Source organism: Homo sapiens, chromosome 10 (genome assembly GCF_000001405.40).
Source record: "Homo sapiens chromosome 10, GRCh38.p14 Primary Assembly".
Classification (NCBI taxonomy): Eukaryota; Metazoa; Chordata; class Mammalia; order Primates; family Hominidae; genus Homo; species Homo sapiens.
This window is the reverse complement of record NC_000010.11, coordinates 10,759,834-10,779,915: the sequence shown is the minus strand read 5'-3', so window position 1 is coordinate 10,779,915 and position 20,082 is coordinate 10,759,834. Positions and strand designations below refer to the sequence as shown.

Sequence of the window (20,082 nt, the reverse complement as noted above, 5' to 3'; positions counted from 1 at the left end):
CCTTTAGGTCTCTGGGAGATATTTCACACCTAGAAAGTTTAAAGTTTTTTTTTTTTTAATAGCTTTCAGGCCAATGAGTTCATTTTATAGAAAAAGAAATTAAGATATGGAGGGAAAATTTAGATCTGTGATTCTCAATACTGACTGCACTTTAGCATTTCTTGGGGAAGCATTTTAAAAATACCAATGCCTGGGCTGCATCCCAGAATATTTGATTTCAGATCTCTTGAGATGAGGCCATGAGCATCTCCTTAAAATAATATCTCCTCAGATGAATATGATGTAGAGCGAGGCAGAAAAACCCTTCGCTGGATGTTCATGGTCATCACAGCTAGGGCTAATGCTCAATAGCTAGAAAGTTTTCCACAGCCACATGAGGTGAGGGAGACGGAGCCAGAAGAAAGGAGAAAAGGAAGGGAAAAAAAAAGAGGAAGGAGAAGGAAGGGTGGAGAATCAGGAAGGTTTGTCAAGGTGCAATGAACGGGGCCCAAGAATAAAGACATTTGCTGCTCCTCTGATCCGGCCCTGGCTTGAGTAAGGTTTTTACATGTGCGAAGTGCAGGGTCCTCATATTTAGTCTTTACTCACACCAACCATATGTTGCATTAAGTGACAGTGCAGAACAAGCCTGTGTTAGGGAAAGTAGGGCAAAGCTAGCTTGAAGTTTCTGGCTCCTGAGTTTTGAAACTATTCTTTAAACCTTGGAGATACGCTGTTACATAAGAGGGTCAAATGAACACAGTCTGTGAGCTGTAATCCATTCTGCAAATGTTAGTCATGGAGAGATGATACAGTATAAGGAGGCGGGAAAGGGTGAATGGGGAAAGATGAACTCAGACTTTGTCAAATGCCCAGTACCTGTTAGGTTCTTTGCAAATACCTTCTCCTAAGGCCCCCATCTTTGTTCTTTTTCTGTTGGCCTTCAGTGGAGATAGTGTATAAATTCATTAGTTAGGCCTGATTGTGGGATCCAAATGGGTGTCAAGACCTGTTGCCTACCTCCACATCTAAGTTCAAATGTCACATCCTCCATGCCTTCCTAGACTCCCAGCACAAATTTTAATTGTTTCTTCCTGCAATCCCATTGCACCATATATGTACCTGGACTGCAACCCACTGTTCCCTAGTTGCCTGTGCCCAGCAGACCGAGATTCTCAGAGTTCTTAATTATGGCAAATTTTTGGTCTTAAAAATTTATTCATTTTTTACATATATTTATCAATCATTATTAACCAGAATCAATGCTATTAGCCAGCAAAAGGTATATCACCATGAGGGACTTAGAGAGTCTCCTCAGAGGCAAACACGTAAACAGGTGATTACTCTTCAGGGTAATAAAAAGGGCAATACAAATCTCAGTTCACAACTCTCAACTATAAGAAATGTGTTCTATTTGTCTATAATTTGACTTTATTTATTTTTTGAGCTCCCATTTCACCAGGGAAGCTCAGTTATTTCTCAGTTAAGTCATAATTTTTCTCTCTTTTCCTGGCTTGACCTAAGTTCTGGGAACATATCAATTTGCCAAAGTTTTGTAGGCAGGAGAGTCACTGGATGTAGGACTCTGTGTACGACTCTGTGTACAATGCATGCATTTTCTTGGACATCCATGCAGGAAGGCATTGAGATGCTTCATATTCTTGCCAATCTGGCCCCTCCAGGTTGTAAAGGTCCCTCTCTTGGGTCATTGAATCTGCGTAAGATCCCTTTCAAATCTTCCCCACCTTCACTACGACCAAGAAACTGGGACCTCCAACACCCCTTGCTCCCTTTCTGGACTTATAAATTCAACTACAGTTTTGTTGTCACGACACTGGACTCTTTCCAAAATATGGGGTGCAGGGCCCCCATCTCCCGAACCTGATTGCACCAGTGTCTATACTTAACAGGAGACATGATTTTTTGTTTGTTTTTAGGAATTCTTGCAGGAAGTAACTCTAGAATGAGACCTGAAGTTGTCAAGTAGAAAAGGGGTGCGGCTGAAGAACTGCTGTAGAGGCAGACAGAACAGCTGTGCAGGAAGTGAGAGCAAGGTGGGTAAGAAGCTGCTGAGAGTTTATTAGGGTTGAGTTTAGGGTAAGGGCCAGGAAGTGATAAGGGAGAGAGGTAGGTAACGGCCAGATCATGAAGAGCTATGGAGTCAGGTTTGGGATTTCGGTTCATCCTCAAGGCAAAGGGGGCTAGTGTAGAGGACCACACACAGATTTCAGCAGAGGGGCAAATTATCATTTGCATTGTAGAAACATCACCCTGGCTGCACCGGAAACATGGACTGGAACGAAGAAAGATTGGAGGTGGGGAGACAAGTTGACCAAGGCTTTGACCCAGGCAGCAGAGGAGAAAGGATCTGAGTCAAGGCAGAGGCAGGAGGAGAGGAGAAAAGAGTAAACAGAAAGATGTCGCGAAGGCTGGACTGAGTGGCTGATGGGATGTTGAGGATGAAGGAGATAGAGGGGTGAGGTGTGATAGCTAGGATGCCAGCTCGGACAGCTTGTTACATGTGATTGCATCATTCAAGACAGAAAGCACAGAAGGAGAAGCTGCCTTGACAAGATGATTATGAATTCAGTCTAGGAAGTATTTGCTGAATTTGTAGCACCTGGGACATCTGTATGAGGATGCACCAGGGCCAAGAGTATACGTAGGCCCAGAGCATGGGACAGAGCTCTGGATGGAGGTGACAATGTGGGGATCAATCGAGCGAGGTGTATCTAAAGCTGGTGGAGTGGAAGAGGGTTTTCTGGTGTGGTCAGAGTGTAAAGTCAGGAGAAGTTAGTGCCAAGAGCACAATGCTGAGAGACACTGACCACAGCGGGTGCATGGACAAGAGAGGGCACACAAGAGATGCCACAATCGGGAGGCGGGTAGCGCATGGGAATGAAAACCTGGAGAGATGGAGACCATGGAACTCCAGAAAAGAGAATATTTATAAAAGAAGGGAGTGAGTGATTGGCCGAATGGCATAGCCAAGACGTGAAGAGAATGCAGAGGGCATGGCCTTCCGGAGGACGTGTTGACCTTTGTAGGTCATTGTCACAAGAGTGACAGCAGGAAGCCAAGTGGCCGCTGGCCAATGGGGAAAATAAGGCCTAAAGAAGCTGTCTTCAGATCATTTAGTACCCCTGCTTGAAACTCCTCCCTGGGCTTCCACAAGCTGAGGGCTAGAAGGCCAAGGGCATGAGGCGATGGGAGCTGGGGCTGCTGGGCTGGTCCTGCTCTGTGCATGCAGCCGGGAGTGGGGATGTGGAGCAAACATGAACGCTGGGGTGGCCCACAGTGAAGTGAATCCAAATACCCATGTAGTGGACAGCCAGGGTCTGTGGCTGACACACGCATTGGGCTCCTTTTGTCTTACTCAGCATTCCTTCTTCCGTGTTCTCATTGCTTAGATCTTGACAAATATTATACATAATCTGGGGATGAATGAATTTTTCCATGCTTGAAAGGAACACCTTTGGAAACCCCTGACCAGGGTAAAGCAAGGATCCCAACGCACTGCGAACAGCTGGGTGACGGAGTACCGTTTACATCTTCACAGAAGTTTTTCACCATTTCTCCAATCATTCTGTGTTTTCCAGCAAGTTTCTATAGAAGTATGCTCCAACTCACTCCGTCGTAAGCACGGCTTCTCTCCTGAGTATGCTAAACTCCCCAAACGCAGCAACAACACAGCGTTCCGATCTTTGGAATTAATAAGCAGTGAAACGTTTGAAACTGAACAAAAATTTTTACAGCTACTGAACTTCCTGTAAGGAAGGCATGCTTAGTAAACTGCACTCTTTCTGTAATACTGTGAAATGGGAGGTATTTACGTTGGAGGGCTGATTGCTGGTTCTTCATATGATGTTTTGAAGTGGAGGTTTCTATTAATGATGCCTCTGTTGAGCACATCTGGTATATTTCTGAAGAGAGGCTTTGTAAACACATTGGGCAGGCCCAGCTTGTAAGTGACAAGGCAGCACAGTGAGGGTGCAGTGGAGAAATCCAAGGAAATAAGGGATTTGTAAGAAACTAGGACCAGCTTAAGTTATAATGAAAGGGCATCGTGTTAGGAAAAGAACATTTCCATCCTTCAGTCACCATCAGTTAAAGCAGACGTACATGGAAACCAGAATGATCTCTTTACAAGGTTATTAAAGATTGTTTTTATTACCATAAATCACTCCTCATTGGTCTCCTATCTCCAATTTGATGTTTAGAATCTAATCTGGAATTCTTATGATGCCCTAGGAGGCCCCTGATGCTCTGCCTCCTGGTCTGTTTCTATGTCTCTGTCCCCTATATATATATTTTTTTTTTTTTGAGACAGAGTCTCTCTCTGTCATGCAGCGGCACCATCTCAGTTCACTACAGCCTCTGCCTGCTGGGTTCAAGTGATTTTCCTGTCTCAGCCTTCCAAGTAGCTGGAATTACATGCATGCATATGACCAGCTAATTTTTGTAGTTTTAGTAGAGACTGGGTTTTACCATGTTGGCCAGGCTGGTCTCAAATTCCTGATCTGAAGTCATTGCCTGCCTTGGCCTCCCAAACTGCTGGGATTACAGGTGTGAGCCACCGCACCTGGCCTCCATCTCCTGCTTTCTCTCTGTACCATCCCAGAGCCCCAGTGCCTCCTTGCTGTGCCTCAGACAGGCCAAGGTTGTTCCTCTGTCAGGGCCTTTGCAGTGGCTGTTCCTTTCCCTAGATATTTCCAAGACCCTCTCCTCACATTCCAGGTCTTAACTAAAACATGACCTCACGCTAGGCACTGTGGCTCACGCCTGTAATCCCGGTACTTTGGGAGGCTGAGGCCGGTGGATCACCTGAGATCAGGAGGCCAAGACCAGCCTAGCCAACATGGTGAAACCTGTCTCTACTGAAAATACAAAAATTAGCTGGCATGATGGTGAACACCTGTGATCCCAGCTACTCGGGAGGCTGAGGCAGGAGAATTGCTTGAACCTGGGAGGTGGAGGTTGCAGTGAGCCAAGATTGCACCACTGCACTCCAGCCTGGGTGACACAGAGAGACTTTGACTCAAAAAAAAAAAAATAAATAAATAAAAATAAAAGTAAATAAATAAATATCAGCTCACCCAAGAGGCCTTCCCTGGGCATTCTTAGAGAAAATGCCACCAGTGCCCTAAACCCGCTGGTCCCTTCTCACCACACCATCCTATTTGTATTAGTTCCTTCTCACACTGCCATAAAGAAATACCTGAGGCTGGGCCATTTATAAAGAAAAGAGGTTTAATTGGCTCAGGCTTCCTCAGGCTGTGCGGGAAGCACTGCGCCATCTGCTTGGCTTCTGAGGAGGCCATGGGAAACTTACAGTCATCGCGGAAGGCAAGGGGAAGCCAGCACATCTCACATGGCAGGAGCGAGAGCGGGGGCAGGGAAGGTGCCACACACTTTTAAACAACCAGATCTCATAAGAACTCTATCATGAGAACGGCACCAAAGCGATGGTGCTAAACCATTCATGAAGGATCCACCCCCATGATCCAGTCACCTCCCACCAGGTCCCACCTCCAGCATGGGGGATTACAACTGAACCTGAGGTTTGGGTGGGAACCCAGATCCAAACTGTATCCCCCATACCACCCTGTTTTAACTACTTCATAGTGCACGGCCGCCCCTACATGTGCACATTCACTAATTTGTCTATGTGTACCGTGTGCTTCCGTCTATCCACAAAGGCTCCTTGAAGTCAGGGGCCCCATCTCTCGTGTTTGGAATTGTATTTCCAGTACCTAGAACACTGATGAGTGAATGCTTAATAAATATTTCTCTGCTGATAGAAAGAAATCCTTTATGGAAATCTCTTAAGGAAGTTACCAGGCAGCATAAATGGCCTGATTCAGATTTGGGACTAGTCTCCAGCAGCAACAATCTTGGCCTTTTCTCTCCATGACAGTAGAAAATATCAAGTATGGAAGTGGTGGGGAATTGTTTTGCTGTGAATATGGGGAAGATAATGATGGGAGGATAATGATGAACCTGTCGCTCATTGACTCAGACCCTCACTTGCAAATATTCACATTGCAACTAGGCAGCAGTGTTTATCGCAAAGGTTTGCTTAGCAAATTAAAAGGAAGGAGCAGTGGGTCTGGGCCATGTGAAGAAGGAAGAGGAGGGAGAACAGTCAGAGACAGGGAAAAGGTCAAGGTTGAGAGATTAAAAAATCCCAGAACTGTGGAGCATGGAGGGCTGGGCTTTGAAAAATACCCCCAGAGTTTCCAGTTTATCTGGTATAAAGGATTTGCATTTTTAGAAAAGTCCTGCAGGTAATTCTAACATACAGCCAGTGTTGAAATACCACTCAAATCAAAGAACAAATGTAGTCAGAGGTACCCAGTTAAAGCTCAGCATGCTTGTCAAATAGTCAGTCTTATATTTTTTTCCAGTGGCTTATTTTTACCCATACAACATGCTAAACTTTAAATCAAAGGACAGTGCCAATATATGTATAAATGCCTACAGGAATTTTGAATGTTATAATTAAATCAAACCACTGCAAATAATGTCGGAGCCTTAATCACAACATGAAGCAAAAGGATTTCAGTTGAAGTGTTCGGGTTTGAAAAGTTACAGGAGAATTTCTCACTTTCAGTTTTCATAGCTTTTTGTTTGTGCCTATATCAACGCCTACAGTGATGGGATGTTTAGACAGTCATGCTCGGGCACATATAACACAATAATCCCCTTGAAAAATCTTAAAAGGTGGGTCAATATAAAAGGTGGGGGGTTATTTTTCCCTCCCGTTTCATATTCTTCCTTAGAAATCAACACCATATTTGTGTTTAAAGAGATTTCCTATATAATGTTATTCCAAGTGGCAGATGCTGTTCACTGCAGAAATGCTAAATCAGCATGTCAGGCAGTTTAAATTACCTTCTGCTGTCCCCCCCATTCAAATGTGACAATATACATCTTTAAAGGTATACATTTTAATGAAACGTTACTCATGCACTAAATTTTCTTCTACTATATAAAAATTAAAAGCAACATTTCTCTGGCCTAGAGCTAAGTTTTTATGACTCCCATGGTATTCTCTTTCTTATCTTGATTTTTAAAGATGTTCAAATAGTGAGTTTTCTTTTTACTTGACACATTTTCACATATGTTGCCTTGATCTTTCACATCTTTTACCCATATGGGAGGCTTCCTAGGAAATAAAGGATTTGTATTTAATTATCTCATGGGGACAATTTAAAGGGAAATCTTGAGCTTCTCCTCTATAGCTCTGCCTTAAGGAGGAATAAGAAGCAATGGTGAACCTACAGCTTTTGGCTGTTGATAGAGCTTTCTCACCGTTCCCTCTGTGATAGCACCAAGCCCACCTGTTCACTTGGGCACATCCCAAGCTCATTGACTCGGACCCTAATTTGCAAATATTCACCTTGCAACTAGGCAGCAGTGTTTATCGAAAAGGTTTGCTTAGCAAATTAAAAATTATGAAAAGGTAGAAGACACAGCATTTAAATTGAAACCAACAAACTTCATGTAATTTTAAACATTTGAAAAAGTATCCATTTACACTGAATAATTGAAAGCTGAGTTTTAAAAATCTAGAGTAATAAAATTTACATTTTACAGTTGAAACTAGGCTTAGAGAGCTCAAAAGATTCACCCCAAGATCATATAGTTGAACAGTGGGAAGACCAAGATTAGACTGCAAGTCCAAATTCCCTCCCATGTGACTCTACTTTCCAAACTCTTTACTAAAAACAGATCCTCAGAACAGTCTTAAGCTAGTTCCAGTTTTTTTTTTCTTGAATATAATAATACTTCCGGTAAGGTACATTTTACAATCTACCTTTTTTTTCCTCTAAATCAAACTGGTCTTTCTGTACAATAGGCACAGTAATGAAGTTCTACTCCATTCTGCTATAGTCTAAGGCATGGAATTGTCTAAGGTTTTCATATACGTTCAGATGAATGAACCTAGAGAAACAAATAGCAGGTTGATGTACTTAGGAAAAACTTGCCCGACGTCTATATATTAATCAGAACTTTTTCAGTTGTAAGTGACTGAAATCTGTGTTGTTGCCTCTGATAGCTGGAAAGGATACTGGGACAGCGTGCAGGTGTATTAGTCCGTTTTCACGCTGCTGAGAAAGACATACCCAAGACTGGGCAATTTACAAAAGAAAGAGGTTTAATTGGACTTATAGTTTCCACTTGGCTGGGGAAGCCTCACAATCATGGTGGAAGGCAAGGAGGAGCAAGTCCCTTCTTATGTGGATGGCAGCAGGCAAAGACAGAATGAGGAAGATGCAAAAGCAGAAACCCCTGATAAAACCTTCAAATCTCATGAGACTTATTCACTACACGAGAACAGTATGGGGGAAACTGCCCCAGTGATTCAATTATCTCTCACCAGGTCCCTCCCACAATACATAGGAATTATGGGAGTACAGCTCAAGATTTGGGTGGGGACACAGCCAAACCGTATCAGCAGGACTGAAGGAAGAACTTCAGAAACCAGAATCAGGGACAGGGACTCAACCAGGCACTTATGCCATGCTTGCTTACCTCTGCTTGGCTTTGTTCTAAAGACAGGCTTCTGCCAGCATCTGGGAAGATGGCACCAGTAACCTGAGCTTTACATCACACTGGCAATATCACTGTAAACTATGGCTTCCGGATCTATTTCTCAGTCTCAGAGAAAGTCTCCAGTTGACTCTGCTTAGGTCATGTCTCCCACTGGGTCCAGAGGGAAAGGTCACCTTGGCTGCCTAGGGATATTGCAAGTTGGGTCAGGGATGAATGCAAAATCAGAAGATGGGGAAGAGAAAAGCTTCAGGGACAGGCAAAAGCAGTAATTGCTAACATCAATTACATATGGAAGTTATTGGTTTGAGCAACTAGAAGAACACTCGTCTATTCCCTCATCTCTTTCCCAAGGATCTGTCTCTTTAATGGAAGAATTTGCAAAAATATGAACGCCCAGTGCTCATTCCAGGGCTTCTGAATCAGGATTTCATAAGGTGAAGCCCAGAGGGGCTTAGTATTTAAACAGCACCACAGGTGACTCTGACACATCCCTAGATAAGAAGTACTGTTTTAAGTAATTATCATTAGGAGTCTATTTTCTGGGATGGATAACACATCAAGCATTCATCATCCATTAACATCTTATGAATTAAACAGATTAGCCAAATTCACTTAGCAGGATTTCAAAATCATGAGATATAGAATGAATACAATTTGATGAAGAAGAAAAGAGGAATTAGGGCTGGTACTAAATGGGGCCTGGGGTGAGGAGTGGGGGGTGGGGTGGCATTGCAGTGGGGGCTCTGTGCAGTTAAGAATAATCTGAACCTCATATTTTACTTTCTGGCCACAGTCTATGATTCCAGCTCTCTCTGTTTCCTCCTTCCTATTTAATAATTTCCCTTCAGTCTCATACTCCTAGCTCATGATTCCTCAGTTTGCTCTAATTTTCTGCTGGCCTGAACCCTCTCCCCCAGCTGCTTCAAATACCCTGCAACCTCATTCTCCCAGTGCCTCCACCCCAGCAGACCTCAGCCTAGGTCAGTCCTGCAGTTAGCCTTCTCCCCTCCTGCTTGCTGGCTGTTTGATTGATTGATTGATTGATTGAGATGGAGTCTCGCTCTGTCGCCCAGGCTGGAGTGCAGTGGCGCGACCTCGGCTTACTGCAACCTCCGCCTCCCAGGTCCACTTGAATGTTCTATGAGATGTCAATATTAACATATCCAAAACTAATTATGCAATCTTTTCTGCCAAGCCTGTATACCTCTTCTTGTATCCTCAATGCCAGCTAATCGCACCGCATCCATCTAGAAGCTCTCATCAGAAACCTTCAAGTTTTCTAATAAACCCCTGTTCACATCAATCTATATATCCAATTGACTACAAAATCCTACTTATGTCCCCATGTACTTACAATATCTCTAAGCTATTTCTTTCTAACCCCCCATCACCATGTAACTTGTTCAGACCTTCATCATCCTTTGGTTGGACAACTCCAGTGGTACAGCAATTAAGTCTAGTCTCCCTACTGCTGTAAACTGATTCTCCACTTTTTAGCCAGAGTCATGTATTTAGGAGGTAATTCTAAGTGATCCTTTCTGCTTAAAATTTTAAAGTGAATTAGCATCACCTACTGAATAAAGAGATTATTATTATTATTATTATTATTTTTTGGAGTTGGAGTCTTGCTCTGTCGCCCAGGCTGGAGTGCAGTGGTGTGATCTCAGCTCACTGCAACCTCCGCCTCCTGGGTTCAAGTGATTCTCCTGCCTCAGTCCCCTGAGTATCTGGGACTACAGTCATGCACCACCATGCCCAGCTAATTTTTGTATTTTTTAGTAGAGATGGGGTTTCACCATGTTGGCCAGGCTGGTCTTGAACTCCTGACCTCAGGTGACCTGCCAGCCTCAGCCTCCCAAAGTGCTAGGATTACAGGCATGAGCCACCACGCCTGGCCTACAGAGCTGATTTCTTATTATGATATGAAAAATCCCATGTGATCTACCAGTCACTAACCTCTCACTGCAGCACGTTTTATGCAAGTAACCCAGAACTGACTGCAGTTCTCTCCATTCACTGTTCTAGCCCCTGTCCCTTGATCAGGTGATTCTCTCTACTTGGAAGGCCTTTCCCATCATTCATTGATGGACCAATCTCTACTCATTCTTTAAGACAGGAGAACTTGGATGCGAGAAATGCCCAGTTCCATTTTCTCTCGCCTGATAGACTTTGAGTTCATCAGGAAAAGGGCCACAGCTTTAATCTCTGCATTCTTATTCTGTAGCACAATACCAAGCTCATAAAAAGCATATAATAAATATCTGTTGTACTAAGCTGAAGGATATCTTGGGGAGACAATCTCAAAAGGATGAAGAGAGGAAAAACAAATAGGAAATGAGAAGAGGACAAAAACTCTCTTTGCTTATTTTACAATTTTGTTTTTAGTAGGTAATATATTTGGCAGGTAGAAGGAAGGACAGAGGGAGCATGCATTACCAGTACTGCAAATGACAGCTACTAGCAGGGACACATACTCTAGTAGAACAATAAAAATTAAGAAAGAGGGTCAGGCGCAGTGGCTCACGCCCGTAATCCCAGCACTTTGGGAGGCCGAGGTGGGTGGATCACTTGAGGTCAGGAGTTTGACACCAGCCTTACCAACATGGTGAAACCCTGTATCTACAAAAAATACAAAAATTAGCCAGGGGTGGTGTTGGGTACCTGTACACCCCGGTACTTGGGAACCTGAGGCAGGAGAATCGCTTGAACCCAGCAGGCAGAAGTTGCAGTGAGCTGAGATCGTGTCACTGCACTCCAGAATGGGCAACAGAATGACACTCCATCTTAAAAAAAAAAAAAAGAAAAAGAAAAAGAAAGAAAGAAAAAGTGGGATCTGGAGAAGGAAAGTGACAGAGGTGTAAAACCTGTTTCATACATTCAACTTCTTCAGATCTTCTTGACCTTAGCTCTTTCCAGGGCCTTGGGATACTTGTTTCTGCCCAGTAGCTACTTTAGAAACCAACTCTGCATGGCTCCAACCAAACTCATGGGGCTGTAACCTGCGAACACGTTGCGCTTTGCCCTGTGTCCCTGCCACATTACCACTAATCCCATGCAGGGCTTTGCTTGTGATGCTGAGATGCTATTTAGATACATTCAAGGACCCACGTCTATGCAACTCAGAAAGGTAGGTGAGTTACCAGCTCATGGGGCAAATGTTTCACCAATTGGATGCAGGGGCTGGCAAGTTTTTTGGTTTTTTTTTTTTTTTTGAGACGGAGTCTTGCTCTGTTGCCCAGGATGGAGTGCAGTGGCGTGGTCTCAGCTCATGGCAAGCTCCGCCTCCCGGGTTCACGCCATTCTCCTGCCTCAGCCTCCTGAGCAGCTGGGACTACAGGCGCCCGTCACCACGCCTGGCTAATTTTTTTTTTTTTTTTTTTTTGAGACGGAGTCTCGCTCTGTCGCCCAGGCTGGAGTGCAGTGGCGCGATCTCGGCTCACTGCAAGCTCCGCCTCCCGGGTTCACGCCATTCTCCTGCCTCAGCCTCCCGAGTAGCTGGGACTACAGGCGCCCGCCACCACGCCCGGCTAATTTTTTGTATTTTTAGTAGAGACGGGGTTTCACCGTGTTAGCCAGGATGGTCTCCATCTCCTGACCTTGTGATCCACCCGCCTCGGCCTCCCAAAGTGCTGGGATTACAGGCGTGAGCCACTGTGCCCAGCCAGCAAATATATTTTTACCGCTTACTTCCCACGGTTGGGTTGTCTGAAGATGAAGTGATTCATATGGCCCCTTGGGAGATAATCCCGTGAGACTGAGCAATGAACCCCACTGCATACCAAGCATTGGTCTGTTTACCAACACCCTCTGCAAAGTCTCTCTTTCTCTGGTCACACCCTTTCCCTCACCCTGCTTCTCTTCTAATGGACTCTCTAATACAGTAGTAACATATATATTTTATTTATTATTTTTTAAGTTCCAGGCTCCATTTCCTGAGGGACTTAGGCTGAGAGCATTGGTATCAGGCTCTTGAAAACATACCCTCAGGATGTCATTCTGGAGGCACCTAATTTGACTCAGGCCTCAGTCAATCTGGAAGACATAAATAAGCACAGGAACAGGAGGCCCAGTCTACCCTGTCATCGACTTTGGAAGTAGTGAAACCCGTCCTTGAGCTCACAATTATGGCATCATGGTGGTGTCGGTGGTGGTGGCAGTGGTGGTGGCGGTACTGTTGGTTGTTGGGGTGATTTATGATCAACCGAATGACTTGGGACTGGTTTATGGTTCAAAGACTGGTCAGCATGATATACTGGTGCTAGCCAAAATTGGGTTATTGCTGCATTTCAGCTCCAGCATAGCCCCAAAAGACGGCGATGAAGGAAAATGTCCTAACTCCATAGAACTTCCAGCCACACACTCACCTGTTCCTGTTCCATTGACAGAGAAGTGGAAGTGGGTTGAGATATGAATATATATGGACCGTTGGCAGTGAGAAATGAACGGGTGCTCCATCAGGGGCTTAGAAGGAGAAAGATTGGAAGATCAGGTACAAGTTCGTCCAAGGAAGACATGTGTGAGTGGGTACAAAGCCTGTAGACTTTCATGTCTTATGGCAGTGCCCAGTGAGAAGTCACCATTGAAGTGGCAGCTCTAAAACCCCACAGGGGCAGGGGTCTCATTCTGTGCATGTCAGTCAGCCTCTGCTTTGGGCAACCCCAGGGCAGACATAGCAGGCTCATGAACAGAGTGGCCATGGTGGCAGGGGTGAAAGTTAAACCTCAGCCCAGCAGCATAGGCTCCCTCTCCCCAAGGCTCACCTAGTCCCTGCTGCTGCTGAGTACCTAACCTCCAGCAGTGGAGACCGAGGCTGACACCTCCCCTGGCTCCATTCCCCAGGGTCCACTCAGACACTAGTGGCAGGTCCCTTACACCTGACCCCTTCCCTCCCGATGGAGGCAGCAGTGTGTCTTTCCCGGAACACACATCTTCTCCAAAATATGGCTCTCCCTTCCTCCCCTGCAGGTCTCTACCTACTGATCTACTCCATATACAGTCATCTCAGACACATTTTATGACAAAGGAAGTGCAACAATGGCAGGCAGTAGCAACATAATTTCCTCATTATTCCGTGTGCCTCATCACCCAGAACAGCTGGTCTGTGAAGGACTCAGCTAAGGCACAGCTCAGGGTAAACCTCGGCCAGGATGTACGAATCTGGGAACCAAGGGGAGAGAATTAGGATTGGCTCCTCTCACCATCCATCACCCAATAACAAAATGATGGCATTTGCACTTCCTGTCTGTGCAATCTTAGTTTCCACCAAGTTAGAAGTTCTGGTTTCCGGGCTGAGTGGATGGGACACTTACTTACATAGGAGCACTTGGTTTCTCAGGTTGGAGTGCCGGAGGCCAAGACAGCAGCTTTTGTAAATTGGTAGCTTGGTCCTGACTCTCCTGAGGAGCTGGGAGGGTGGCCCAGTGCGCTTGTGTCTGGCCCAGTGTGCTTGTGCCTTGGGCCAGTGCGCTTGTGCCTGGGATCCAGGGCATTTCCTCTGCAGTCTCTTGGTGCTTCTGAGTTGAATGATGATGATGAGAAATGGGAAATTGCACCAACTGCAGCCCAACAAAGAAAAGACACTCAGTCCTCATGGAGAGAGGTCTGGATCCGCCCTTCAGATAAGCAATGGACAAGCCACGGTGCTGGCTGAGCATGAGCGAACTCTAGAACAGGTAGTGGAGGATCAGCATCCAGCATGACCTCAAGACCAGCTGCAGTCGGTTGTTCCCTCAACCTTTTAACTTAAGGCTTTCTCAGAGACTAAGGCTGGCCACCACTTTGAAGGGGGCACTCTGTGACTGATTGGTTTTATATTTCCTCTTACGGCATCTTGTTCTCACAGCAATAAAGCCCAATTGTGGTCGGGGAGTCAATACAACGCAAGGGCACAGGTAAGTGTGGCGGATAGGTCTTCAGGTCTTCTCAGCCTCATCCACCTCCTGGTCCAAGGCTCTTTGCTCTGGCCTGGCCCTTGCTGTAGGACCAGCTCTGCTCGGATTCTGGCCAGCTTCCCGCAGACAGAACTCAATGGCATCTAATGCTGTCACACCAAACATCTCTCACCTCGTGCCCTGCGCCTTCTACTTTTGTAAGAATTGAAATAAGAGATGCCTTGGGACTGGTTCAAGGCCACCCTTGTGCAATTCAGAAGCGTGGGGCAATTTTTCCACAAAGTGAAAAATGGGACCAGTGGGAAATGGGAGCTGGCAGATAAGGTCTTCCTGCCCTGGACACACTGTCTGAAGTTCACCGTCATTTGTATGGATCCTTGGACATCAGCCCCCACAAGATCAAGCCGTGGGTGACCCTCCACCCCCAAAGGTGGTACTAGTAGCCTGCCCTTGTGTTGGCTCTAGCTTCTCTCTCTTTTCATTCCTGTTTTCCCTTAATCCCGCTTTCCTGGGAGTGCGCTCCCTAATAAAATACTGCACATGAGCTTTTATCTCAGGCTTTGCTTTCTGGGGAGCCTGGCCAAGGCAGAATTCATGTAAGAATGCAGAGATGTGAAGTGGAGATATTTAACTGCTGCAGAAGATGTACAAGCAGATACTCAGCAGACAGTGGAGGTGGGGTACAAGAGCCTAGAAAGTGGGGGAGACCTCTTCATCTTCACTCTGTTACTTCCAGTTGTCAAATATTGGCTTCCAATTGCCAAGTAAAGTATTGGCATGATGATTTATAAGATTATTAAAAAGGCATTAGAAGGAATGGGAAATTAAGATTCTGAGACATGACAGGGTCAAAGGGTGACCCTTTAAATGTGTTTTATATGTGACATTAACACGTGCCTTGGAGCTTACTCTTCCAGACACAGTGATCCTCTAGGCCCTTTCCTCTTGGAGAACTTGGCTCTGTCTCTTCTCAGAAGACACCTTGTGCGGTGTGCAGAGCCTCTCTGTTGTCTGATTAGGTCTGCATGAGCAGTCGTGTAGAACTTTGAAGTGCTCCATCGTATTTGTTTATACCTCTTATGCACGTGGAAACTCAGGTTAGGCAGATAAAAATGGCTAAGGGTGAAGACACAGTATGAGATCGGCGCCATGTTCCCAAATGGAATTTTTGCAGAAAGTATGTTTTTTTGAAAACAATTTCATTCACAGCATCTTTGATTGGAAATTTTTAAAGGACATATGATTTCCCTTTCAAATATGAATTATTGGGACTTTGTCAATGCACACAATAAAGTGTATCATAAATAGCCTCACAGAAAAACACATTAGTCTCCCCAGAGTATCCCTACTGACATCTCCTTTCCTTTCCTTCCCGTCTGAATTTTTGCATGACCCCAGAGTGGCTCTGTTACTAAGAAGAACAAATGGCTGAATGAACACCAAAAGCGTGGAACGCTGCTAGTCTGTGGGTTACCATTTAAAACTCTTTCAGACAGCCGCACAGCGTGAAATACTAATTCACTCCATCTACAATACCATATCCATTAGCACTTTCTCATCCTGGAATTTAAATAGTCCAAAGCTCAGAGAGTCACTAAAGAGAGTAATTAATACAATAGCACAATTCTCCATGGTTCAGGTGATATGATGAATGGCTTTACCTGTCACAAACAAATACTACAGGAGGCAGGCTCTTCCAATTTTGCATTTTGAATATTCCCCCTCCCTCTCCATGTTCTGACATTCTCTTTCCAGGTGGATGTTGTATTTTTGTCTAGTGAAAATACAGGGACCCTCTGTTCCCGCGTTCGTGCCTCATTCTGTTTCAAACAGCTCCACTGTTTGAATAACCACACAATTGCAAAAACAAGCCACAAAAGAGACATGGTTTATATGTTGGTTTCACCTTCCATTTTCTTCCTTTCTGCATCTTCCTCCTCTCACATACACAGGGCAGCTCTGCGGAAGGTACAGACCCTTTATCAATGGGCTGTTTAGTTGCATGACCATGCAGGGTGGGTTTTCCTGACCGGGGCAGCGTTTCCAGGTTGTGTGAGTTTGGAGGGCCTCCATCTCATAATTACATACGTAGGGATCTCAATTTCCAAGTCCATTATCAAATGTATGTCACAGACCACATCACAAGGCTCACGACGAGGGATATGATTGCTCTCATGTGCAGTGAGTGGGAGGTGAAAAAGCTTCCGCCAAATGTTGGAACTGCTCAAATGACCTCTTTTGCGTAAAGGAAAAACAGGTGCTCCATAAATACAAATTGGGCCAGCATTTTGCACTTAGTGATATCTTTTCACACACATTATCTCGTTTATTCCCACAGCTACTGTCCAAGTTCCAAAAGTCAAGCATCATCATGTATGTTTTGTAAAATGAGCAAATTGAAGCTCGAAGAGGCTAAGCAGAGATCGCATGTAGAAATCTTGGATTACAACCTAGGACTGCTAACATGAACTTCTAGTACTAACTAGAGGCTGTAGCTCTAAAAATGTGGTTGGCTTTTCTCAAATCTTTTATAATTTATTTTATTTTAGAGACAGAGTCTTGCTCTGTCACCCAGGCTGGAGGGCAGTGGGCAAGTTTTAAATATTTTGTAGAGACAGGGTCTTGCTATGTTGCCCAGGCTGGTCTCAAACTCCTGGGCTCAAGTGGTCCCCCTGCCTTGGCCTCTCAACGTGCGGGGATTACAGGCATGAGCCACCACAGCTGACCTCATTTTTTTTCAAATCTTTCTTTGCTGTATCCTTCTGGAACTGCTCACCATAGAGGGTAAGTGCTTGTACTCATATTAAAGCCCACTGGCATAGATATTGGGTGTGAATCCCAGAAGCCTGAGACCGGAGAACTACCCCCAAATGGTGGGGGTTATGCTTGCCTAGTGGATTCCGGAATGTTGTCTCAGTTCCCGAGCGTTAGTTTGAATTCGATCTACGTGTAGACATCTGGAATAGGTGACTCCCCTTCCAGGACCCTGGGTGTCTCTATTAATCTACTCTTTCTTTTCCCTCTTGCACGAAATTCTCAGATGATTTTCCTACCTATATCTCTACTTCTTCACCTCCAAGTCATGCCTCAAATGACTTCCATTTAGCTTCTGCTAGCACAATCCATAATTAAATGCTGTTACAGCACTGACTTTCCTATTACTCAGGCCCCTGAATACTGCCCTGCCTCTCCTTACATTTCCCAGAGTGGACATCCATTCTTCCTGTAGAACTCTTCTCCTGCCAAAGTCTCCTGGGTTGCCTCCTACCTCTCTGGTCATTTCTTGTCTGCCTTGTTTGTTGGGTCATCCTTCTCTCCTAAATCTCTGATGTTGGAAAGCATAAGGGCTCAGTTTTAGGACCTCTTCTCTGTCTCTCTCCCAATTTTAGAACATCTCATCAGTTCTAATGAATTCATTTGCCATGTATATGCTCAGGGTTTTCAAATTCATGTTATCATTAAATACTTTTAGTCTACGTCAGGGCTCTCCAGAGAAACAGAACCAATAGGAGATCATCTACATATCTGTCTACACACACACACACACACACACACACACACACACACACACACACACACACGGTTTATTATAAGGAATTGTCTCATGTAATTAGAGAGGCTGAGAAGTCCCCAGATCTGTAGGTGGCAAGCTGGAGACCCAGGAGCCCATGGTTTAGCTCCAGTCCAAGTCTGAAGGCTTGAAAACCAGTAGAGCTGATGGTATGTGTTCCAGTCTGGAAGCCAGCAGGCTCAAGACCCAGAGCTAACGTTTCAGTTTGCATCTGAAGCTAGGAAAAGACCAATGTCCCAGCCCAATTGGTCAGGCAGGAGGTTCTCTCTTGCGATGTGGGAGGTTGGCTTTTGTGTTGTATTCAGGCCTTCAACAGATTGGATGAGGCCCACCCACATTTGAGAGAGCAACTGCTTTATTCAGTCTACTGATTCAAACATTAATCTCATCCCAAAACACCCTCACAGGAACACCCAGAATAATATTTGACCAAATATCTGGGTACCCTGTGGCCCAGTGAAGTTGACACATAAAATTAATCAACATACATTTTTCATGGACTTACACCTCTACCAACCTACTCAACCATGTCTACTTTGATTTCTCACAGGTCCCTCAAATTTAACCTGTCAAAAACTCATTGTATAATCTTTTTCTTCAAATTTATTTCTTCCTCAGGTATTCCTGAAAACTGTAAAATGACACAACTCATTCAACTTCTTATGTGAGAACCTGAGAGATGTCTTTTATACTCCTCCTCCTACCTCCCCTCAAATAATCAATTCCAGCCAACACCCATTTTGAGGTATTTGCTGAAGCTCTCAACTTCTTTTAATTTCTGCTGTTACTTAATTCAAGTCATCAAGATTTTTTTTTGGAATTGTTGACCACAATGACCAAAAAGATCTTCTATGGAACATAGAAGTCTATGGGACAATACCATATCTATGCTCCATAAAACACTGAGTGATCTTTTAAGATACACTTAGACCATGTCACCACCCAGCTTAAAATTCTTCTGTGACTTCCCATTGCTCTTAAGATAAAGTCCAAACTCCTTAATGAGCCCTACAAAGCCTTGCGTGATGCGACCTTTGCTGGCATCATTATCCTTTTCCATCTCTCTCCTTCCCTGAGCCCTGCCAGGAGTTTTTTCTCAGTTCCTCCCACTCATAGAGCTCTTTCTTTCCACAGCACTTTTACAAATCCTGTTCTTTCTGCGAGAAACACTGTTGGCCTTTTTCCTCGTTTGCTTGGACGTGTTCTACTCAGCCTCTAGGCTTCAGCGGACATGTCATTTCACTAGGAAATCTTCCCGAGTTCCCTGCTTAGGAGCATGTATCCTCATTGCAGGCTGATCTCCTTCCTCCCCTCCATCGCAGCTTTCATCATACACATCCCCCATTCACTGCTTCTGTAATTCTATTTAATGCCCATCTCCCACACAAGATGGTAAACTGTATCGACGTGACTTGCTTGCATCTTCTGAGTTAAGGAAATACACGAATAATAATTTAGGGAATAAATGAATGAATGCAATCAAAGAACTGCTGAGATGGCTGGCTCTTGCTACAACCAAGTCACAGTAGCACAGTCTCTTTTCCTTCCAGGTGCCAGTCTGGGTCACATGGAGCATTCAAGAGCCAACAGCAGAACACTCCTAGAGTCAGGCGTTCTCAGGATAAAGAGGGGGACTGGGGTAGGACAGAGAGGTCTAGATGTACCAGGGCAGGAAAGGTAAGAGTCAAGACAACAGTGGTAAAAATGATTTTAGCTGGCCACAGTGGCTCACGTCTATAATCCCAGCACTTTGGGAGCCTGAGGTGGGTGGATCACCTGAGGTCAGGAGTTTGAGACCAGCCTGGCCAACATGATGAAACCCTGTCTCTACTAAAAACAGAAAATTAGCCAGGCGTGATGGCACATGCCTGTAATCCCAGCTACGCAGGAGGGTGAGGCAGGAGAATCACTTGAACTGGAAGGCGGAGGTTGAAGTGAGCCAAGATCGCATCACTGCACTCCAGCCTGTGTAACAAGAGCGAAACTCCATCTCAAAAAACAAAAAAAAAGATTTTAAGAACCTGGCTATTTTAACTACTATTTCTATATAGGAATATCACCGTCTTTTCAAGAATATAATTT

General features: G+C 44.7%; 1 protein-coding gene and 1 pseudogene across 9 annotated transcripts in view, besides 1 other annotated feature; one reads left to right on the top strand and one right to left on the bottom strand.

Moving 5' to 3' along the window:
• Positions 1-20,082, bottom strand: part of CELF2 (CUGBP Elav-like family member 2) — an 874,126-nt gene that overhangs the window by 556,760 nt on the left and 297,284 nt on the right. The gene's annotated exons all lie outside the window — the stretch shown is intronic.
• ORMDL1P1 (ORMDL1 pseudogene 1) lies at positions 3,249-3,664 on the top strand (annotated as a pseudogene).
• Positions 12,051-12,204: a silencer, noted in NCBI's record as "fragment chr10:10809675-10809828 (GRCh37/hg19 assembly coordinates)". NCBI's record gives its function as "represses an EF-1alpha promoter that drives an FKBP-Casp9 reporter gene in an ReSE screen in K562 erythroleukemia cells {active_cell/tissue: K562}" and the evidence as "EXISTENCE:reporter gene assay evidence [ECO:0000049][PMID:32094911]".